General features: G+C 39.8%; 1 protein-coding gene across 42 annotated transcripts in view; it reads left to right on the forward strand.

Annotated features, from left to right (window-relative positions):
* Positions 1 to 250: 250 nt before the first annotated feature.
* Positions 251 to 21,897, forward strand: part of PLEKHA5 (pleckstrin homology domain containing A5) — a 246,668-nt gene continuing 225,021 nt past the window's right edge. For 41 of the 42 annotated variants that reach the window (NR_169820.1, NR_169818.1, NR_169816.1 and 38 more), the window contains exons 1-3: positions 251 to 406; positions 569 to 648; positions 2,911 to 2,968. Coding sequence is in view for 35 of the 42 variants with exons in the window: in NM_001256470.2 (NP_001243399.1) it covers positions 318 to 406; positions 569 to 648; positions 2,911 to 2,968 (227 nt within the window). In the remaining 7 variants the exon portion in view is untranslated. Of the gene's footprint in view, positions 407 to 568; positions 649 to 2,910; positions 2,969 to 3,028; positions 3,036 to 13,773; positions 13,785 to 21,897 lie in introns of those variants that run through there. The other variant, XM_017019503.2, reaches the window with a different exon arrangement.

Here is a 21,897-nt window from a genome sequence, read left to right on the forward strand (position 1 = left end):
CCTTCGCGCGGCGGAGGGGGCGGGCGCGCCGCAGGGGCCCGAGGGAGGGGTCTGGGGCGCGGCGCCGCTTGCCCATCCCCCGAGCGCGCGGCGGGGCGGCCGGCCGGCGGCCGCCGGGATGCGGAGGGGCGGCGACGGGGGCCGGACCCTGCCGGGGCGGCGGGGCGGGCACCGCCCGAGGGGGTAGGGCGCGCGCGGGGGCGCGCCGGGCCGGGGAGGCGCGCTCGCTCCGCGCTCCCTTCGCTCGCTCGTTCCCTCCTCCCTCGGCAGCCGCGGCGGCAGCAGGAGAAGGCGGCGGCGGCGGCTAGGGATCAGACATGGCGGCGGATCTGAACCTGGAGTGGATCTCCCTGCCCCGGTCCTGGACTTACGGGATCACCAGGGGCGGCCGAGTCTTCTTCATCAAGTAAAGAGCCGGGGACGGCACGGGGGCCCGCGGGGGCGGGAGGGCAGGAGGCGGGCGGCTGGCGACACGGGGGAGAGCCCGGGTCTGTGCTCCTGCAGCCCCTCGGCTCGCCCCCGCGTCCCCTCTCACGCTCCGTGTCTGCCCCTTCTCTCACCCCTGCAGCGAGGAGGCCAAGAGCACCACCTGGCTGCACCCCGTCACCGGCGAGGCGGTGGTCACCGGACACCGGCGGCAGAGCACAGGTAACGCCGGGCCCAAACGGAGTTGGGCTCCGCCTGGAGGAGGCGGCAGAGCCCGGGCCGCCCGGCTCCCCGCAACCTGCCCCGCGCCGCGGGCCCCGGGAGGCGGCGAGGCGGGGCGGAGGCCGGGCGGGAGCGGCCGCAGGTAGAGGGGCCACGGGGACTCCGCCGCCGGGAGTTCTCTCCAGTCTCGGGGCGCCTCTTTCTCCTCAGCCTTTCATCAGCACTTGGAGACGGCGCCCTCTTCCTGCGCCTTCTCCCCCCATCCCAGCCTAGACGACCCTCGCGACCCTAGAGTGGCGACGCTCCCCTCCCTGAAACCTGGAGTCCTGAGTTTTTCCTCCGCGGCCGCTACTCACTCCCCGGTGACCCCCAGCTGCCGTCTTGCCCCCCAGCAATCTTCAGGCAGTCCTTACCCACTCCCCTCCCTGCAGCCCCGGACCCCGATCGCCCGCCGGGATAACGTAACCACATCCTCCCCCTCCTCCCAGGAGCGCTGCCTCCTGCCGTGCAGCTTCCTCCTCCTAGGTGGGACTTGTGGGTAGGTGGCTGATGAAGGAGGAGGAGGAGGAGGAGAGGAGTTCGGGGGTGCTGCGATCCTCTCTGTGACAGGGAACGGCTCGGGAAACGCTTGGCGCGTTCCCTCCTGCCACGGGAGGAGCAGCCGGAGCCGGAGGAGGCGTTCGCAGCCTCAGTTGCTGGCGATCCGGATCTAAAGTCCCCGCCAGCCGCACGGAGGTTGCACAGACTGCCAGGAGGCGGTGGGCGTGCGAGGGGGTGTCCCGTATGGGGGCACCCGGGCCCTGTTTGGAGGGAGTCCGTGGGGAAGCGGCTCTCTCGGGTGGCTTTGGGAGCTTGTTTGAATGCTAAGTGTGAGTGGAGCTGGAAAAGGCTCCTCGTAGTTTCTGTACTGGTCTGGGTTTCTTTTATCATTCTTTGTTTACATTCGTGACTTGTTTGTCTTTGAAATGTAACATGTGTTCTCTTACTGGCCTGCCTCTAGTCCTGGTGATTGGAAAGGCTTGAGAGCAGTTTGGGTCGAAGGCGAGGCCAGTTTCAGCAGTCCTCAGAGCTGGCCTCTGGGGTACATTCTCTCGGACTCTGACATTCCGTGAATCTGTTAAAGTTGCCAGGATATTGAACAAACCTGCCTCTCTGTGAAATGCTGGAGTTCACTGAAGTGACTAATGTCTCCAAATTTGCAAAAAGGTGGAGGAAGAAAGGAAAGGCTGGTGTAGCAAGCATGATGAGCTTACATTTTTAAGGCATTTCTGACTAATACACTATCATGTTTCTCAATTCCCCGGTGCAGGCTTTTGCTTCAATATACCTTTCTGGTGTTTTACACGCATATTCCAACTTTGATGGCCTCTTTGCTTTTATGGATAATGATAGATTTATTTCATGAAAGACGATATGACATTTAAATTATTTAGACTAATTATCCTATGGAATTATGAGTGATATAAATAAGTGTCCTAGTTAACCCCACAGATTTGGTAACATTCACGCCACAGAAAAATTTTATTCTTTTATGTGATTTCACTTTTTTTTTTTTCTGGTTTGGTTTTACTTTGCTTGGACTCTGGTTTTGTACACACATCGGTTGTTTTTACTTCCAAGAGGCATTTTGATGAAATCCAAACAACTTGTCATTAATAATAATATGTAGCACATAATGACCATTGTTCACCTGAATCATCCCCAACTTTACTACTTGAAACTTCACGTCTCTTAGTCAAATTTTTAGAAACACACACGGAAGTATTCGGTGTCATTTCTTTTCCATTAATTAAGTAGTTAGGAAGTTCTGCCTTCTTTTTGGTGACACTTCCTAGATGGATTCATTTGTGTAGCTGAAAAATACGGTCTTAAATAGACACAATATACCCAAGAAGAGGCAGGCGTTGCCTGTTATACCCAGCTTTTTTTTTTGCTAGTCATTCATGAGTGTTCCACCTGGGATGAGAAGGCTTCCCTTTGCTTTCTTGGGTGCCAGAACATAGTTCCTCTCCACCCTAATATATTACAGTGTGTGCTCAGGTCAGATAATCTCTAATATTATGGTTACTTTTCTGGTGGCTCTAAATTTGAATTGCTGTTTTTCAAAAAATGATATCTGTTGTATTGCCAGCTCAACACTTTTTTTGTTAGTAATCTACTTAATTAAAACAGCTAATAAATGAAAATGGATAATTAAAATGGATTGAGACTTATTTTGCTATCATTGAAGTAATACTAATTGTAATATATGTATTGTTTTAGATTTGCCTACTGGCTGGGAAGAAGCATATACTTTTGAAGGTGCAAGATACTATATAAAGTGAGTTTTTTGACTTTCATTTTTTTCCTTCGTAATTAGAATGCTGTGATTACTCCTCAGCTGAATAGTTGTATGTCCAGTCTTGATCATGATTTTCTGAAGTTTATCATATAATGGTGACTGTATTCTTTATTTTGTATAGTGTCAGAATTTTGAGAGAAGAAAATGGCACTCTTACTTTTCTAATGTTATTTGCCTGGAATATTCATCGATTCATTGATTTGGAAATTAGATCATTTATGGCCACTTTTAAAAATAATTTTGTATCTTCGTTTTTTTCTTTTGGAATCGTCCAGCTTCATCAGAATATGACCACAATTACCTTTTTTTTTTTTTTTTTTTGGTGCTTCTGTGTATATTCCTGGGTAATAGAGGATTATTGGTCATTAGCTATGTGGTACTTAAAGTTTTGATCTTTGATTATCTGTGCTGAGAGATAACAAACAAAAAAAAATCTGAGTTACGTGAACATCTTTTTTTTTTTTTTTTTTTTAGTGAACCTTGTTCATGTATATTTTGACCAGGGCTGTTTATAGGTAGCAAAAGTGATGTAAAGCTAGGCACAATTTGATAAACAATGACGGTCAGGGAGTAAAAATAGAAATAGTTACTGAATATTTCATGAGCATATATTGGAGCATTGTTTGTATTTTTGCCTCAGTTTATTTAAATATGTCTAAGTCAAGATGTTTTATTGATATGTTTGTTTAAAAAAGGCTTTTAGTAGAGCTTGAGAGAAAAGATGACCAGTCAGTCCCAATCTTAAAACCAGTTCTTTAGAATATTAAACTAATTTATGTTCAAACTTAATAACTTAGTACTACTTGGAGACAAATACAAAGCTGGAGGTCAACATCATGTAGGAAAAATTTTAATCCCCCAACGAAAAATATGGGTGGTTTTGTCTTTTTATTTTTATATTAGAAACTATTTACCTAAGAGTTTGTTTTTATTGTTTAACCTTATTTGTTCTTTAATTTTAATAAACTGAGACATGAAAGAGAATGCTGAAATGCCAAACTGGGTTAAGACTTCAGTAGTTTATAAACAATAACAGATACCTAGCTAAAGTTACCTTTATTTCATTGAGCCTAGAAAGTTATTTTTACTGTGACATTTTTAAGATCATGTTATACTTCCAGTAAATTATAATTACCTGTATGGTTCTTTAATCTTTTAGAAAGATACTTAGATAAAACGTCAAGGGCTTTTTTATAAGTATTAGGAATGCTTGCTTTTGGATGTAGAAATAGAGAAAGCAGAAGATACAGGAATGGAATAGTTTCATGGTATGGTCTTTCTGTGAATATTTTTGGGTGAAATCTTTTCTTTGGAGATTATACTATACATTATTAGATGGCCTAAAAAAATACTTGAGTGAAATGCAGTCATCAAATGTTTTTCTATTGGTTATTTCCATCCTAAATTAAAGTGAGTTGATATTGCCACGAAAAGGGATACTTCTTTTCTTGTCAAGCTAGTAGTATGGTATATGTGAAGAAAAACAGTTTTTTCATTTCAGGTCATTTATTCAATGTAATTTTGACTACTGTACATTAAGCCTAGCTCATCTTATAAAAACAGAGGTAACATTTCAATTTTCAATAACATTTTAATTTCTTTGCGTGCATTCTTGGATGAATGTTTATTTGATAGTACAAAATCTTATTCTGTGTGGGCTGAGTATGTATGTTTTAATTTAGAACTAAGCTGTTAGGAAGACATTGAGTGAGTTTCTTTTGTTTTACGAGCCATTTTGATTAGGTTTTCTTTTATGTTTACTTAAACAAATTAGAATTTTATTTGAGTGCCATGTCTAATGCCTAAGTAGGTTTCTCTGGAAAATTAAGACAATATTAAGAAAGCTATAATAATTTTACTTTAAAGACATTTTTAAACTTGTAGGTTTTAATCATTTTGGTATTCATAGCCAGTAATTGTGTCCAAAAGTAGCAATAAATAACTTATAATATTATGGAAGTAATTTCTCCTAAAATTGAGCATAGTGTTGCATATCACTCATTAAACTTTTAAAAAAACTAACCATTGATAAATATATGATGTACTGAATGTTAGGTGCTACTGCTTTATCTTCTGGGTAATGTCAGAAGACTAATTTCTTTTAAGGTTAGTTAAATCCCTAATGTGCACTGTAATTTCCTAGAAACTTTTTACTTGTTTGTATTGTTATTTATCATTCTAATAGGATAGGGGCACTACTTTTATCTTAAACTTTACAATTTAGAGTACCTTCACATACATTATTCATTCATGAAGTAGTCAGAGTTACTACTCCCATTGTCACACACATAATAAAACAGCAGAAACATGCCTTTGGAACTTACAGTTTGCAAAGACAGCAGGATGAGAAACCCCAGGAACATAAACTATATTTAGAATATTCAGAGTGGAGGAAAAGATAGGAGTCTGAAGTAGGAAAGTGATTCGTGTTGGTGGCTATAGTTTTTCATTGTCATTTCTTTCTCAGATGAAGAAAGGTGGTTATTGATCAAATTGTATGTAAAGGAGGTTACAGGGTTATCGGGGTGGATTTTGTTCACATGGGAAGTGGAAAGATAGGAATGCCAATAAAAGACATGTCAGCCCTTTGACTATTCCTAATCCTGTGTTCTGGAAAGTTCTCACTGCAAGAAGGGAGACCTAAAGAATTTCAGTTGTTTCTGCTTCCATTGTGAAGTGAAATATATATAACTCTTAAATTATTCCTCTCCTGGACAAATGTTGGTTGGTGTTAAAAATGGCAGGTTACCAGAAAGAATTTATCTCTTAATTATATTTTGGTATTGACACTTGCATCTCTGTAGGTGGTAAGAGGAGAGGATTGTAGTGGGGAAGTCATAGGAACTGAAATGTGGTCTTGACCTTAATGACTTTGGAGCTCAGTCTTCACGTCTTTAAATTAGGTTACCTGGAAAAGGCAACCTCTAAATTCCATTTCTAAATTTCTTTGAATTTTGTACTGTTCTGGGATTTATAATATTCTGGAAAACAAGGAACTCACAATGCCAAGCAGAGATGATGCGGGAAATATGGAAAGCTAGCTTTTCTATCCTTCTTAACTATTTTATCCTCCCTCTTTAAGCTTTGGATAGACAATCACAGATAAGTATGATGTATGTAGTGCCAGGGTTGTGTGTACTTTCTTTTGCTGCTTTTTGTGCTTACGTTTCCTTGTAAAATGTTTGTATACATATCTTCATGTAAACAGATAGTACTGCTAATGTAAACAAAGGACCTGATCAGCGTAAGAGTTGTATAGGTTTGAGTTAATCAGTTTATTTTATACACTTTGAAATTGGTTCTTTAATACAAGTTTGCAGCTAGATTAAAAAAATATGTAATATAGAGAATGTATTTTCCTTCACATCCATTTGGCCAAAAAACAGTAAAATATGAAAAATCTTACTTTGTTTTTTTTTTTTTTTTTGAGGGGGGTTTCACTGTGTCACCCAGGCTGGAGTGCAGTGGCTCTATCACAACACACTGCAGCCTTGACCTCCTGGGCTTAAGCGATCCTCCCACCTCAGCCTTACGAGTAGCTGGGACCACAAGTGTGTACCACCATGCCTGGCTAATTTGATTGATTGATTGATTGAGAGAGACAGGGTCTTCCTATGTTGCCCAGCCTGATCTTGAACTCCTAGGCTCACGCAATCCTCCTGCCTTGGTCCCCGAAAATGGGGGATTATAGGCATGAGCCATGGTGCCTGGCCAAAAATCTTTATCTTTAAAGATATTTAATACTTTTTTTCTGAATAATTTTTCTATGTGCCCTAAGCTAGCCAGCCTCTTAATTATGTTACTATGTGTTTGTGTGTGTAAATACATTACACAGAGTTTGAGTTTGATTATTGAATTTTCATATTGTTTTTATAACTTAATTTATGCTGTTATCTTTATGAAGAATGCTGAAAATAAGTGAATTTTATAACTTGTAAAGTGTGGCTTTAAATATTCCGTATTCTTATGAGAACGCAAATAACTTAGCCCATAAAGCACAGAAGAAAATCTTATACGTTTGAGTTATAAAGCTTTCTGCTTGCTCCTTGAAAATATTGCTTAATGATTCTGTAATGACAGGCCATGGTAACTTAAAATGGATGTGTCATTTACTATTCCTTTGTGCTTCAAAGCTTTAAGATGGTTAACTTAGAGTGCCAAGTAAATCTTAAGGCTCTCTGAATAGTGAGAAACTTTATTCTGATTATTTAAAGGTCATTGCAGGACTGGGTATCAAAACAATATTTGCGGGGGTAAAATAGTATGCAAATTTTTTAAGGTTATGTTTTCATACTGCTTTTTTTAACTTAAAATTCTAAGTTCTGAAAATTGAACTTTTTCTTACATAGGCAAATAGAGTATGAGGTTTTGTTTCAATATCTGCAATAGCTGGATCTAATGTATGCTAATTCCAAACTTACCAAAACTAGCGTTGCAAGTAAGGAGAAAAATCTGTTTCTTCAGATTTTCACAATTCAAAATATGAATGAAGATGGGGAATCTAACAAGTGCCATAAAAAACATTAGAATATATTAACTATGTATTTGATATTTAAAGTTGTTTTATACTTTACTTTTTTTTTTTCTTTGAGACGGAGTTTCACTCTTGTTGCCCAGGCTGGCATGATCTCAGCTCACGCAACGTCCACCTCCCGGGTTCAAGCAGTTCTCCTGCCTCAGTCTCCCAAGTAGTTGAGATTACAGGTGCCCACCACCACCACGCCTGGCTAATTTTTTGTATTTTTAGTAGAGAAGGGGTTTCGCCACGTTGGCCAGGCTGGTCTCAAACTCCTGACCTCAGGTGATCCGCCCACCTCGGCGTCCCAAAGTGCTGGGATTACCACCACCCCTGGCCAAAAACTGTTTTATACTTTCTATAATAATATAACCAAATTTTGATTACTAGAGCTATATAATTCTTTAGAACACTTTGTGGGCATTATATTTCTTTTCCATATTTATAACAAGAGTTTTGGACTGTTAATATGTGATTCCTTACATTGATAAAGCACTTTATGCTAATTCATTAGTTACAAAACAACTACGAACTATGATCTCAGCTTTCAAGGAGTTTGTAGTGTAGAGATAAATATGCAGTATATTAAAACAGGGAGATGGTTTGGGGAACATAGACTTATTTAGTGCTAGGCACTTCAGCATAGCATTAAACTCCTATAATCCTCACAATAGCCTTTTTGTTGTTGTTGTCTCTTTCGTTTTCAAGTTGGTGTGCCAGGACTACCAGCCTCAGTAGACTTTGTTGTGGAATTCTTTTATTTTTAGCCCCAGGACCACTGCTTAGGGCCAGGTTTGCTCAATATCCTCCTTGTATTTCCTGTGATGCCCAGCATCTAGTCAGCCTCTAAAGAAGTGGTATCTGTGATGATGATGATGCTGGCTCCTAGTTATTTAAGGAGTTAATCAAGATGGGGAAAGAATAGTCCCCACAACTCAAGTGGTTGCATTTTAAGAACACTTTCTGGATTTGTCAAGGGACTTTTTCTTCCCTAATCTGGATAGACCCCTTCGTTTCTTCTTATTCTCAAAGCTGGCCTATATTTAGGAAGGGGGAGGAAGTGGTCAATACAAAAACACAAAAAGTATTGGAAGAGTTGAAGAGTCGATGACCTGGAGACAGGGCCTTACATAGGACCTGTCTGTCCTATACAGGATGGAATTTCTTTGAATTTGTTAGCAGATGCTCTTTTCTTGTGACTGTTTCATTTTTTTAAATAACAGATAAATATAAGATGAAATTAAGGGTGAAAAGTTATGTGTATATGTGTATGTGTAAGTTAGAGTTAATGGTGTAAAAAAATGGCACGGCATGGTGGCTCATGCCTGTAATCCTAGCACCTTGGGAGGCTGAGGCAGGCGGATCACTTGAAGTCAGGAGTTTGAGACCAACCTGGCTAACATGGTAAAACCCTGTCTCTACTAAAAATACAAAAATTAGCCGGGTGTGGTGGCGGGCTCCTGTAGTCCCAGCTACTCGGGAGGCTGAGGCAGGAGAATCGCTTGAACCCAGGAGGGAGAGGTTGCAGTGGGCCGAGATCACGCCACTGCACTCCAGCCTGGGTGACAGAGTAAGACTCTGTCTCAAAAAAAAAAAAAAAAGAAGATGCTAGTTTGAGTCATAAGAATTCAGAGGAGGAAGAGGCAGCCTAGGCTGGGCTGCCCTGGAACGACTTGAAGAGGTGGGAGTTGAGCTAGGCCTGAGGGTATAGATGGGATTCACTTTCAGATGAGTTGATAAGACTGGGAGGATACATTCATGGGGCTGGGAACACGTATAATATGTGAATATGTGTGATGAGTAATACTAACTAGGCTTGTTAGTGATGGTTCTGTAGAAAATGCTAGGATGATGGGAGGTGAGTCTAGGAATGCTGTTTGGAACCATACTGTGTCCGGTCTTTGAATGTCAGGCTGAGGTTTTTATTTTCCGGGCAAGCCTTTGCAGATGTTTTTTAGTATAGCGTTAATTATGCAACATGAAGGTTTTAGGGAGATTTCAATACAGGCAGCATGGATTGGACAGGAGCAAAGTGGGAATCAAGGAGACCATTTCTGAGTCTGTTGCCATAATTGGGTAGTTACTTGAACTAAGTTTGTGGCAGCGGGAATGGAAAGGAAAGGCCATTGATCAAAGATGTTAAAGACGAGCTGACAGGCCTTAGGAGTCTTGCTGAGCAAGGAGGTTGACAGAAAAAAAGAGGTCAAAAGCTCCTCAAAGCCTTTGTGTCTGAGTGTCTACAAGAATGATGATGAGACCCTTGACCGGAATAAAGGAGTAGGTGTGGGAGGGGGAGCCCCAGGTGGACATATTAATGGTGGTTTGGTTTTTGAGCTGCTTGAGAGGACATAGCATTTCAGGTGGCTAAAATCCGACTTTCACAAAGGACTCCTGACATTATCTTTTTACTCCCCTCAAAAAGCAAACACAACCCACTCCCCTATCCTATCTCAGCTACCTAAATGACTATCTAGCTATTTATAGATTCAGGCTGGGAATTTCATATTCATCCATCTAATTATTCATTCAACAAATGCTTATTGAATATTTACTGTGTGCCAAGTGCTTTAAGCTTTATGAATGAAACAGACATGGACACTACTCTTAAGAACTTTATAGTTGAATTAGTGGGGGAGCCAGTAATAAAATAATCATGCAAATATGTAAGATAGACTGTGATAAATGCTATGAAGAATATCTAATGTTTTGACTACGTATATTGAAAGGCCTTAGCCCGTTGTGGGGGTTGCTGGGAGAGGCATTTCTCACAGTTAAGCTCCAAACCCCTGCAGAGTGGATCAGAATAGAGCAGTGTAAAGTCACTGGAAAGATGAAGAATAAATAGCCTCCTGGTCTTGAGATTGGACCACAACCTGAGTGAAAGCATTGCTATATATAAAGAAAGACTTGGGGGATGGGGTTGGTATGGTATGGCAATTTATGAAAAGGAGAAAGCTGCTGCAGAAGCTGCTCTTTATCATCCAATAGATAACAATGTTTAGCCAACTGATTTTAATGATTATCTCAGTCCCAGTGGCAAGGTCTTCCAATTAGTCACTCACTCATGTGTTCTTCCAATTCTCTTGAATACATTTTGAACTCATAGTTGTGTGCCTTAGTGATTAGTGTACATCAGTAAATGAAATAAACCAAAAAATTCTGCCCGTCTGGGGAGTGGGATGATGGGGGAGAGAATGTCAAAGTAAACAATAAATAAGTACATTTTATAGTATGTTAGACTACACATAAATCCTCTAAGCAAAAAGTCTACTTTTTAAGTCTACTTTGGTTTCAAGAAAACAAGGAAATATATTACTGAAGTCTGTACTATCGTGATTAGTATGGAAGAAGTGAATGTAGACTAAATTTTAAAATACTGAAATCAGTGGGTCCAGTAGAAACCCAAAAGAAATAAAGAGGTCCTCATGAGGTACAGATGATAGACATTTCAGAGCCACTGGGGGAACATCTTGGCCACTAAGGAGTGTCCTCTGAACTACTTAGGAATTATGCTCTGAAGTGACCAGTAAGCCACCCACACCAAGAGAATCTTTTGGACTATTAGGTCTCAGAAGGCAGAGATAGTCTTATACTGTAGCCACCTTTATGCTTCCAGTGCCTGGCATGTAATAGACAATTAGGTGTTTGAAATGAAGCCCTAAAACAAATTGTAAGAAAAGCAAGCCTCTTTACCTAAATCTGAACATCCCAGGGCATTTTTTTCTTCTCATTTGTCATCTAGTCACAACCCTTGTTGTTGTAAAAGTCACTGGCCCAAAGCCAACTAGTATAAGCAAAAAGGAAACTATTTTCTTTTTGGAGACAGAGTCTCGCTCTGTTGCCTAGGCTGGAGTACAGTGACTCAGTCTCGGTTCACTGCAACCTCTGCCTCCTGGGTTCAAGTGATTCTCCTGCTTCAGCCTCCTGAGTAGCTGGGATTACAGGTGGCCCGCCACTACGCCCGGCTAATTTTTTTGTATTTTTAGTAGATATGGGAGTTTCACCATGTTTGGCCAGGCTGGTTTCCAACTCCTGACCTCAGGTCATCCACCTGCCTTGGCCTTCCAAAGTGCTGGGATTATAGGCATGAGCCACCGTGCCCAGCCAGGAAACACTTCACACTGATTTCAAGAGTGATGCAAGTAAATTCTTCAAGGCTCTTCCTCACCTGCTTTCCACCCCTCCCCCCCAACAGAAAGCTTCTCTTTAACCAGAAAAAATGGTTACGTGCAGCCCCAAATTACACCCGTTTAGCTTTTTAACCTAAAATGTAAGTTTTCTTCTCTAGTTGCAAATTAAAAAAATCTCGGACAAGGACTTTTGACTACCTTGGATCACATGCCTGTTCCTAGAGCAGACATTGGCCTGCTAGTCTTCAGTCATTGTCTGTCCTTAGCTAGAGCCAAGGCACTAACATTGGCAAGCCATCCAGAAACATACAGTTAGAGAGGAAGGCCCAGTTCATCATTGGAAGTCAAGATGTGAAAGACTAGAGATCAGAGGTCTTCTTATAATATAGTGCAAAATGCCTAAAGGCCAGGGAGACCTGAGCATCTGTAAACTTCTGAGAAAAGAAGTAATGGTACCAGTGATATTCAGGGAAGCTTTTTGCCTTGTGTTGCAGAAGTAATAGTTGAAGTTATTCGGGATGGTTCAGGCCAGGACCAGGGAGGATGAAGAGAAAGTGCTGAATTTTGAGGAAGAATGAGTAGAAGCCAGTCCTAGATTGGCTGTCCTGAGCAAGTGAGTTTGAAGAAACTGATTTAGCACAAGTGGCAGTAGAACTTCACTGTGGTGGAAACCTCACCCTGCTAGGTGAGGCCAGGGATTCTCTTCGGTGCTTCTGAAATTACTGGCCACTTGAAGAGTAATTCCCAAACAGTGTCAGTGCTTGAGTAATATTGCCAATGCTTGCTTGCTATGATGCTGTCTACATGGGGAGTGGTTTTTGTTCCCTATCCCTTCCAAATAACTTGGATTATTTACATATATTGTTTCTTTGGATAGACATGCTCTAAAAAAGTTTGCCTCTAAGGTGAAAATTCCAACTTTCGCTAAAGTGGTTGAAGTTGCATATTATTAAATGTTAAGGCCAGGTGCTGTGGCTCACGCCTGTAATCCCAACACTTTGGGAGGCCGAGGCAGGAGGATTCTTTGAAGCCAGGAGTTCAAGACCAGCCTACACAACATAGTGTGACCCCCAATCTCTACAAAAAAAAATTGTTTTTTTAATTAGCTGGTCATGGTGGTGTACCCCTATAGTCCTGGTTACCCAGGAGGCTGAGGCAGAAGGATTGCTTGAGCCCAGGAACTCAAAGCTGAGGTGAGCTATGATCATGCCACTGCACTTCAGCCTGGGCAACTGAGCGAGACCCCATCTCTAAAAAAATTTTTTTAAAAGCTATTCAACATAAAATATAAAACTCAGTAAAATAGGACATGATGACAAAATTTTGAAAAGAAATAACTCCTTGCCCAATTTTCACAATACAAAGAAATTATATAACATGGTAAAATTAGTGTGAATTTTTTCTCTGTGGAAAACACATCTGTATTTATTTTGAAAAATCAATTCTGTTCTATCACAATATAGATGTAGTCTGATAACAATAGCTTTTTAGTGTATAAGTGTAAGGTGTACATGTTTGATGTACGTAATGAAATCGTTACAGTAGTCAATCAAATTCACATATCCACCTATAATCTACTTGATCAGCAAATTTCCAGTATACAATACATTATCTCAGTCCTCTACTGTAGTCTCTAAATTTATTCATCTTCTATAAGTGTAACTCTATACTCACTTTGATCTGCATATTCCCATCCCCCCATTTCTATTCTATTTTTATGTATTTTACTTTACAAACTTCTTTTAGCTTCCACATTTAAGATCATGCAGTATTTTTCTTTTTGTCTGGTTTATTTCACTTAGCATAATGTCCTCCAGTTCTATCTATGTTGTCACAAAAGGCAAGGTCTCATTTTTTATAAGAATATGATGAATAATATTCCATCATATTTTCTTTATCCATTCATCTCTTGATGGACATGTGGGTTATTTCCTTATTTTGGCTATTGTCAGTAATGCTGCAGTGAACATGGGAGCACAGATGTTCCTATGAGGTGGCAATTCATTTCTTTTGGGTATACACCCAGAGGTGGGATTGTAGATCATATATGGTAGTTCTATTTTTAATTTCTTGAGGAACCTCCATACTGTTTTCCATAATGGCTGCACTAATTTATTTTCCTACCAACAATGTGCAAGGATTTCCTTTTTTCTGCACCTTGCAGGCACTTGCTTGATGGCATTTTTTTAAAGTTAGTAAAGAAATACCACAGAATGATTCCAAATCAAATAATAAAAGTGTACGTTTAGTGTATATGCTTCTTTTTAACCTGTTTTATAATGTTAAGTGTTTTTTTCTTATAGAAGCAATTCATTTTTATTGTAGAACATTTGGAAAATACTAAGGAGTATAAAGATGGAGAAAATAAAAATCATTCACAGTCCTGTTGTGCAGAGAGAATTTCTACTAATATAATTATTGTGTACAATTATATGCATATATTATGCATATATAACACATAATTATATATGCAGCATAGATGCATGTATTATATGTAATTATATGTGCAATTATGCACAATTATGTATGCGGCACATATGCATATATTATGCATTTATAATGTTTCACATTGACAGTTAATATGTATATATATTTTTAAAGATTTGAGTCTTATTGCTATTGATAATACTGTGTCAAATCCTATTTTCATTAGCTGTATTAGTATCCTTATATCGTTATATATTTATTCAGTAGAAGGTTTTTAATAACTATGATGTTCTGTCTTATGAATATATGGTATTTATTCCTCTACTTCCAGGTAACTTTGTTGTTTGTGAGTTTTTGCTGTGAGAAAAATGTTTATATGAATACTCTTGTATGCATGTCTGTTTTTTGTAGAATTGGAATTGAGAAAATACATGAGCTTTTTAGATGGTTCATCACTTAACATTTGCCAAATTGCCCTTTAGAAAATTTGTGCAGATTTATGTTCTCACTTGAGAACATATAAGAATGTATGAAAGTGCCTTCATTTCTCCATAACTGCAATAAGTGCTTCTGATTGAATAGATGAAATTTGAAAGGTAACTGATAGAGAGTCTGTATGGATTATTACTAGAGATTCAGATGGTTTGAAACACAGATTAGTCCTTCAGTTATGTATGTCTACATAAACAACTACCCCAGAACTCAGTGGCTTAAAACGATGATTTCTAATTTCTCACTTTTCTTTAAGTTGACTAGGCTCAGCTGTGCTGGTCTTCAGTTCCATGCGGTATAACTGAGGTCATGAGTCTGGAACAAACACCAGCGTCTCTCCTCGTGGCCTCTCATCAGTTAGTCTGTCTCAAGTTTTCTTTGTAGCGTGGCAGTTGGCTTCTAAGAGGAATTATCCTAGGAGAACAGACCACAGTTTTAGACACTTATAAAACTTCTGCTTATATCATGCTTTCCCATGTGGTCCTGGTTGATGTAAGTCAAAGTCAGATGTGGGAGGAGAGCTACATAGGAGTGCAAATACAAGGAGTGTGGGACGTAATGTAATGGACAGCCAGAGATGATAAATAAGTTTCAGCCAGCATTGCAACTCTGTTTAGCGATAACTGTTTGAAGCAATGTATTCAAAAGAATTTGGAGACCAACTTCTGGATCAGTGGGAAAGCATATTGTGATAAGCTAGTGATGTACGCAAGGATTTAGGTGAGGAAGTGGATATACTGGTGTGTTTACCAGTACTAATTCAATATCTGTTAATTTTTATCATAAAGTCAGAGACTTAGAAAATCAAAGTAAGTCATGAACTTGAATGTAAGCCCAAATATTTTAAAAACATTTGAATACCTGAGTAAATTTAGTCTTGATCTTTAGTTTATTCCAGTTTCACATTGACAGTTAATACACTTGGTAGTAAAAGATATAAATAATTGGTATCTTAAGGCTAGATTACTTTGCACAATACAATTATTTTACACCAGGGCTGCTGTTTCCCACTGATAAATGACACAGCTGTAGCAGAGTTCAAACATGAGGATCAAAGTACCTATGCTAGTAATCAAGATAGTAGTGCCTTGGGTTATATGAGTGTGTAGACAGATATCTCACATATGTGTTTGTGTGAGGGGAGTGTGTGTGTGTGAGAGAGAGAGAGACAGAGATTTTATGTGCTTGACTGAACTGTCGATTTGACCTTTGGACTAACTCTATGATCGTTAGTAGTTATTATCAGTGGCAGTATTTGAATAGGAGTAGCACTATAGCCCTCTGCCTTCCAAGAGGACTTGTAGGAAGATGTTCCTACTCCTCCTGATGCAGTAAAGTCCTCTTTTATGATTTTTCCCTTCTACCCCATACTCTGCTCCCCAAGAAGTTATAAGTATCAGTGGTTTAGGGTCCATTTTTCTACTGTTCTTTCTTTGCATGTACATACTTATATATACATAAATATTTTAACAAAAATGGGATTGTCCTGTAGGTACTATTCTTTAACTTTTTATTTAATAAATATCTTAGGTCTTTTCATAGTACTGGTTAAAGGTCAATATCGTTCTTTCAATAACTGTAAAACATGTCTTGATGGTTTTGTTATACTCCTGTTGTTGGACATCGAGGTTTTTTCCTATTTCCCCCGCCCCCTGCCCAATTGCTAGAAGTATGATAGTGAACCAATTTAAACAGAATCTTTGTGGTCACATGCAAATATTTTTATAAAACAGTTGTTTTATAAAACAACTATTTAGATGTGGAATTGCTGAAATAGGCTGTATTCGTAGTTGAGCTTTGGTAAGTTGTAGTAAGATCCTGCTAAACCCCGTAAGTAGAGTTCAAAAAATTGGAAATGCTTAAATGTGCAATCATAATATTGAAAAATAATACTTTTTAATAAGTCTGTGGAGCTACAAAAAAACTTACAAAAGTAATAATATGACACATTGTGCAAAACTGACTGCATAATGATTCAAAAAGCCCCAAATGATAACAATACATTCACTTCTTAAACTCCTCTGAGAATTAGGGTTGGCCAAATCATTGGAGACATTTGCCAATCACATTCAGATTAATTTCTGGTTTTCCTATTTGGTTTACTGTTAGACAGCTTTCTTCCAAAAAGTCTTAATTATTTATCCTTACTTATATCCTTGCCAGCACTTGGTGTTACTGTACTTAAGTTTTGGCTAGGCCAATGGGCAAAAATGGTATCTTCTTGTTTGAATTTACATGCTCCTGATTTCAGCCATGCATGGCATCTTTTTCAATATTTATTGCCCATTTGAATCTCTTCTGTAAATTTCCTGTTTCACATATTTTCTGTGTTTTTCTATTGAGTTATTTTTCTTAGTGATTTATGTTAGGTATTTATTTGTATTTTTGATATCTAGGCCAGTTAGCTTAGTAGACATCTCGAAAATATTTTGGTTGTGCACCCCTACAAATAAAAAGTTTTTGAGTATATACCCTCAAGTACGAACATTATACATGTATTTATTTAAAAAGTATATACATGTAATGCTGTCAATCTGTGTCTTACATATTAGTAAAGCTGTTTTTTCTTATTATTTAAAAATAAGTGTAAATAGAGGTACTAAATATTTTCTCCTGCAACCCAGTGGAAAGCCCAGTGTGCACCCACTTAGGCAGTTAGGAGTTCAGAACATAATATACCTTAGACCAGTTAGAGTTGCCAACAGGAATATGCTCTCTGTTTTGTGACCACAGTGTGCATCTTCATAAGCCTGTGGGCACCAAGAATTGTGGTGAAGTGGAAAGTAGCAATGTGTTAGACCTTGACTCTCTTACCTTAGTTAGCTGTATTACTTTGATAAAATTGATACTGTTATATACCAGTTTTCTCTCATGTAAAGTGGAGAGGATAATTCTTGTCTTGCCCATTTTAATAGGCTTATGATGTTGTGAGTTAATTTATATGAACAAACTTTGAAAAACTGTGAAACATTACATAAAGAGATAAAGTACGTGGGTATATGTTTTCCAAGTTTATGCCATTGGGGTTCTAAGAGAATATGCCTCAATATCATTTATGCTGAAAAACAACTTAAAATGCATGGCCTGCTCAGAGTGGTTTAGAAATGTGATCATTTAGTCTTCCTCTTATATAGATTTTACACCTCTTGAAAGTAGGAACTGTTACACATAAGTCAATGAGTATTTGTTGATAGTGTAGTGTTCACTTAATAATATACGTATTTCTTTTTTCTATTTAAGAAAGCCTTGTGACTTAGGAATTAGAAATCAGTTTCTTTGTGAAATGCCTAGACAGTGGTACTAAGGAGAGCTTTCCTTAAAGAGAAAGTTTAGGGCTGCACATAAAAGGCAGGACTTAGCTTGAATATATTCTACAGGAATGAAGAATTCAAGGTGTTGTAACGTTAGGGACACTTACATAGGTGAGTGGAACTGAAGTGTGAGGAGGCAATACTAAAGGCAGTATGTGGTATAGGATACCCAGGAGTGACTATGAAAAGACAACTTTGAATGAAGGTGTTGCTGCTGTTTGAAAAAGATATTTTGTAGTTTCTTTTTTCTTTTTTTTTTTTTTTGGCAAATGAATGAATTTAACTGCAGAATGAATTATTACCAGTAAAGGGGGATGGTGGAGAGAGAAGTAAAAGAAACTTATGCCTCAAATTGGGATTGCAACTGTATAATTAAACAGGTTTGAAATATTGTATTTTATTTTTAGAGACAGGGTCTCACTCTGTTGCCCAAGGCTGGAGTGCAGTGGCATGATCAGAGCTCACCTCAGCTTTGAATTCCTGGCTTCAAGTGATCCTTCTGCCTCAGCCTCCCGAGTAGCTGGGACCAAGGCGTGTGCCACCACACCTAGCTAATTTATCTATTTTTTTTTAGAGATGGGGTCTCACTATGTTGCCCAGGTTGATCTCGAACTCCTGGGCCCACGCCATTCTCTTGCCTTGGCCTCCCAAAGTGTTAAGATTATAGGCATTGAGCAGCTGCACCTAGCTTTTGAAGTATTTTATTTTATTTATTTATTTATTTTTTGAGACGGAGTCTCGTTCTGTTGCCCGGGCTGGAGTGCAGTGGCAGGATCTCAGCTCACTGCAACCTCCGCCTCCCAGGTTCAAGCAATTCTCCTGCCTTAGCCTCCTGAGTAGCTGGCATTTCAGGCACCTGCCACCACGCCTGACTAATTTTTGTATTTTTAGTAGAGACAGGGTTTCACTATGTTGGCCAGGCTGGTCTTGAATTCCTGACCTCAAGTGATCCACCCGCCTTGGCCTCCCAAAGTGCTGGGATTACAGGTGTAAGCCACCATGTCCGTGAAGTTATTTTAAATGTATTAATACTCAGGCTCTGCAAAGGTGCTGGAGATTAGGCATGCTCAGGCACGTACTGCTGGCTGACACAGGCAGAGCCCCTGACCAGTAGTAGCCCCTGAACACACTACGTGTGGGCGACGGGCCTAGCAGGTCACATTCCTTCTGAACCCTCTCTTCTTCTCATTTGATTCTCAGGACAACCCCACAGAGTAGGAAACAGGACAGGCCTGGTTCGATTCAAGTTAGTAAACTTTTTATGCTTACCCAGATGAATGAGAAGAGGAGGTAACATGTATATTATCTACTTTCAAAAACTTAATTACTTAAACTCTTGAAGAAGGTGGAAGACTTCAAAAAAGAAATTCTTTTGAGAATTTGGAAAAGTAGATGCATTTCTCAGAAATAGTTCACTGAAAAAATTGTGTATCAGAAAAGAAGGATGAAAATAAAAGGAAATCAGCTAGTTATTTTGTTGTTAACAGAATAATCTCAGGCTCTTTCACACCTAGTCATCTGGATTTTTACAATATCAAGTCAGCCCCTCCCCTCCATTATTCTTATGAAAGTCTGGCTGCTATTCCTTTCTCAGCAGGTTCTCTAAAAGAAGCTCTAGAAAGGAAACAAACATTATTATTGGTAGTAGAAGTAAAGTCCTTTGGGGTTGTGAGTCTTTACTGTATATAACACTTCCTTTCTGACCTGCTATTTAAGCCTCATTACAGAAGATGACCCTGAAATTGAAATATTTCACAATTATTGGTTTCAGTTCCTCAAAAACATTAATGGAGACAATTAATATATTATCAGAGTTGAATAGAGGTAAATCATTATAATCTTGCTGTATCAGTTATTGCTCTATGACAAACCATTCAAAAACTCAGTGGCTTGCCTGTAATCCCAGCACTTTGGGGAGGCCAGCGTGGACGGATCACGAGGTCGGGAGATCGAGACCATCCTGGCTAGCACGGTGAAACCCCATCTCTACTAAAAATGCAAAAAACATTAGCTGGATGTGGTGGTGGGTGCCTGAGGTCCCAGCTACTCAGGAGGCTGAGGCAGGAGAATGGCGTGAACCCGGGAGGCGGAGCTTGCAGTGAGCCGAGAGAGCGCCTCTGTACTCCAGCCTGGGCGACAGAGCGAGACTCCATCTCAAAAAAAAAAAAAAAAAAAAGAAAAGAAAAAAAAACTCAGTGGCTTAAAACAATAACTATATATTATTGTGCATACTTTTCATGGGTTTGCTGGGCAGTTTCTCCCGTTTGTTTCTTTCTCTAGTTTCTGTGGGGCCTGCTCTTATCTGAGATCACCTAGTCAGGTAAGAGGCTTTGCTGATCTTGGCAGGTCTAGCATGGCCTTATCCAGGATGATGGGAATGACTCTTCCTCTAATAGGTTCCGGCTTCATCTGCTAGGCCCAGGCTTGCTGTGATTGATGAAGACAGGCATCCACCCGAGTGAGCAGAAGCACCTAAGGGTCTCTTGAGGCCTAGATTCAGAACTGGGACAGTGTCACTTTTACTGCTTTCTGTTGGCTAAAGGCAGTCACAAGGTCAGTTCAGATTCAAAAAGTGGAGAAATGGACTCCATCTTTGGATAGGAGGAGTTGCAGACTAACATTGTACAAGGTTGTAGATACAAGGAGAGGTGGAAGATGGAGGCATTTTTGTAATCCATGTAAGGTACATGCTGAAAAAATTACTGAACCCAGCTAAAGTTTAGGTTCTTCAGTCTGAAATATGGGATTACACTTGATCCTGAACACACTGCTGATCATATATGTACTCCTTAGATTATATAGAAATCTATGTGGACATGTGTGGGATGACCCTCTTTATTAAAACTGTTAATTCCTAACTCCTGTAGAATAGAGTTATTATGTTTTTTTCTTTTGATGCCCTGTTTAGTTGGTTTGGTACTTTCACTGGGGCTGTGTCAGTTTAAGGTCCAAAATAGATCTGACTGATTCTGTTTTGGGGGATGGAGGAAGGTATCTTAGGTCTCAGTGTGCTTCTGAGAAGTCTTTCAAGTAGATGACCTCCCCTGTTCTGCCCACACCCAAAACCCACTGACCAAGCACTTGCTGTCATGTTACCCTGTTTTGTTTTCCCTGTGGCACTTATCACTGGTTAAAATTCTTATTCACTTACGTGTTTTCTTTTTCTGCCTTGTGATATGAGCCTCACAAGAGTGGGGACCTCCTCTGACCCTCTTTGCTGCTAAATTCTCACAGTTAAGAATAGTGCCTTTCTGTTCTTAGGAAATGCTCAATAAATATCTGTTGAACATTTGTAATAAATATTTTGTAATAAACAAGTCAGCAGTTTGTTAAAATACAGTGTGTTTAAATGCTATGTCACTGGTGCATTGCAGACACTTGTTGGGTATTTATGGAATCTTGAGGGAGGGCCGTGGTCAGTAGGAGCTCAAGGAGAATGAAAGCTTGAAGCCACAAAGGGTTTTTCTAGATTAATCCAGTGAAAGACAGATGAGCAGGAGAGTTAGGGTATGATAGATTTGTTGAAATGTTGAACTGTTAGACTTCAGGCTGGGAAGGAGGGAAGTAGAGCAAAAAGTGATCTGATAGATTGGGATAGAGATTCTTCCAAGACCAGAGAACTCCCACAGGGAAGTAGTTAAACATGTATACTGCAAGGTTGGAGATTTGGTGTTGCAGTGTGATCATTGAAGTCATGATTTTAGATGTGCCAGGTTATGGGTATGACAAGGTTCTGGGATTAAGAGAATGGATGGCTCAGGTAGTTGAAGGACCTTGGGGGAATGGGGAATAAATATCTGTTCTTTGAGAGAATGCAGTAGGACAGCTGATGGGAGAAAGTCCTTAACAGCCAAGGTACTGAGGTAATGCTTTGAAAAGAGGTTGAGGGTATAGAGGAGTTTGCTAATTATGGAGCACCATTTCCATAGGTAGTTAAATTTGTAAGATAGAAGGTGGACTGTAGACTAGGTCAGGGATGGAAAAAACAAAGCCTTGTAGGGTTAATGCCAGGTCAGTAGATGGATTGAGAGA

This window comes from Homo sapiens, chromosome 12, assembly GCF_000001405.40.
Source record: "Homo sapiens chromosome 12, GRCh38.p14 Primary Assembly".
NCBI classification, from domain to species: Eukaryota; Metazoa; Chordata; class Mammalia; order Primates; family Hominidae; genus Homo; species Homo sapiens.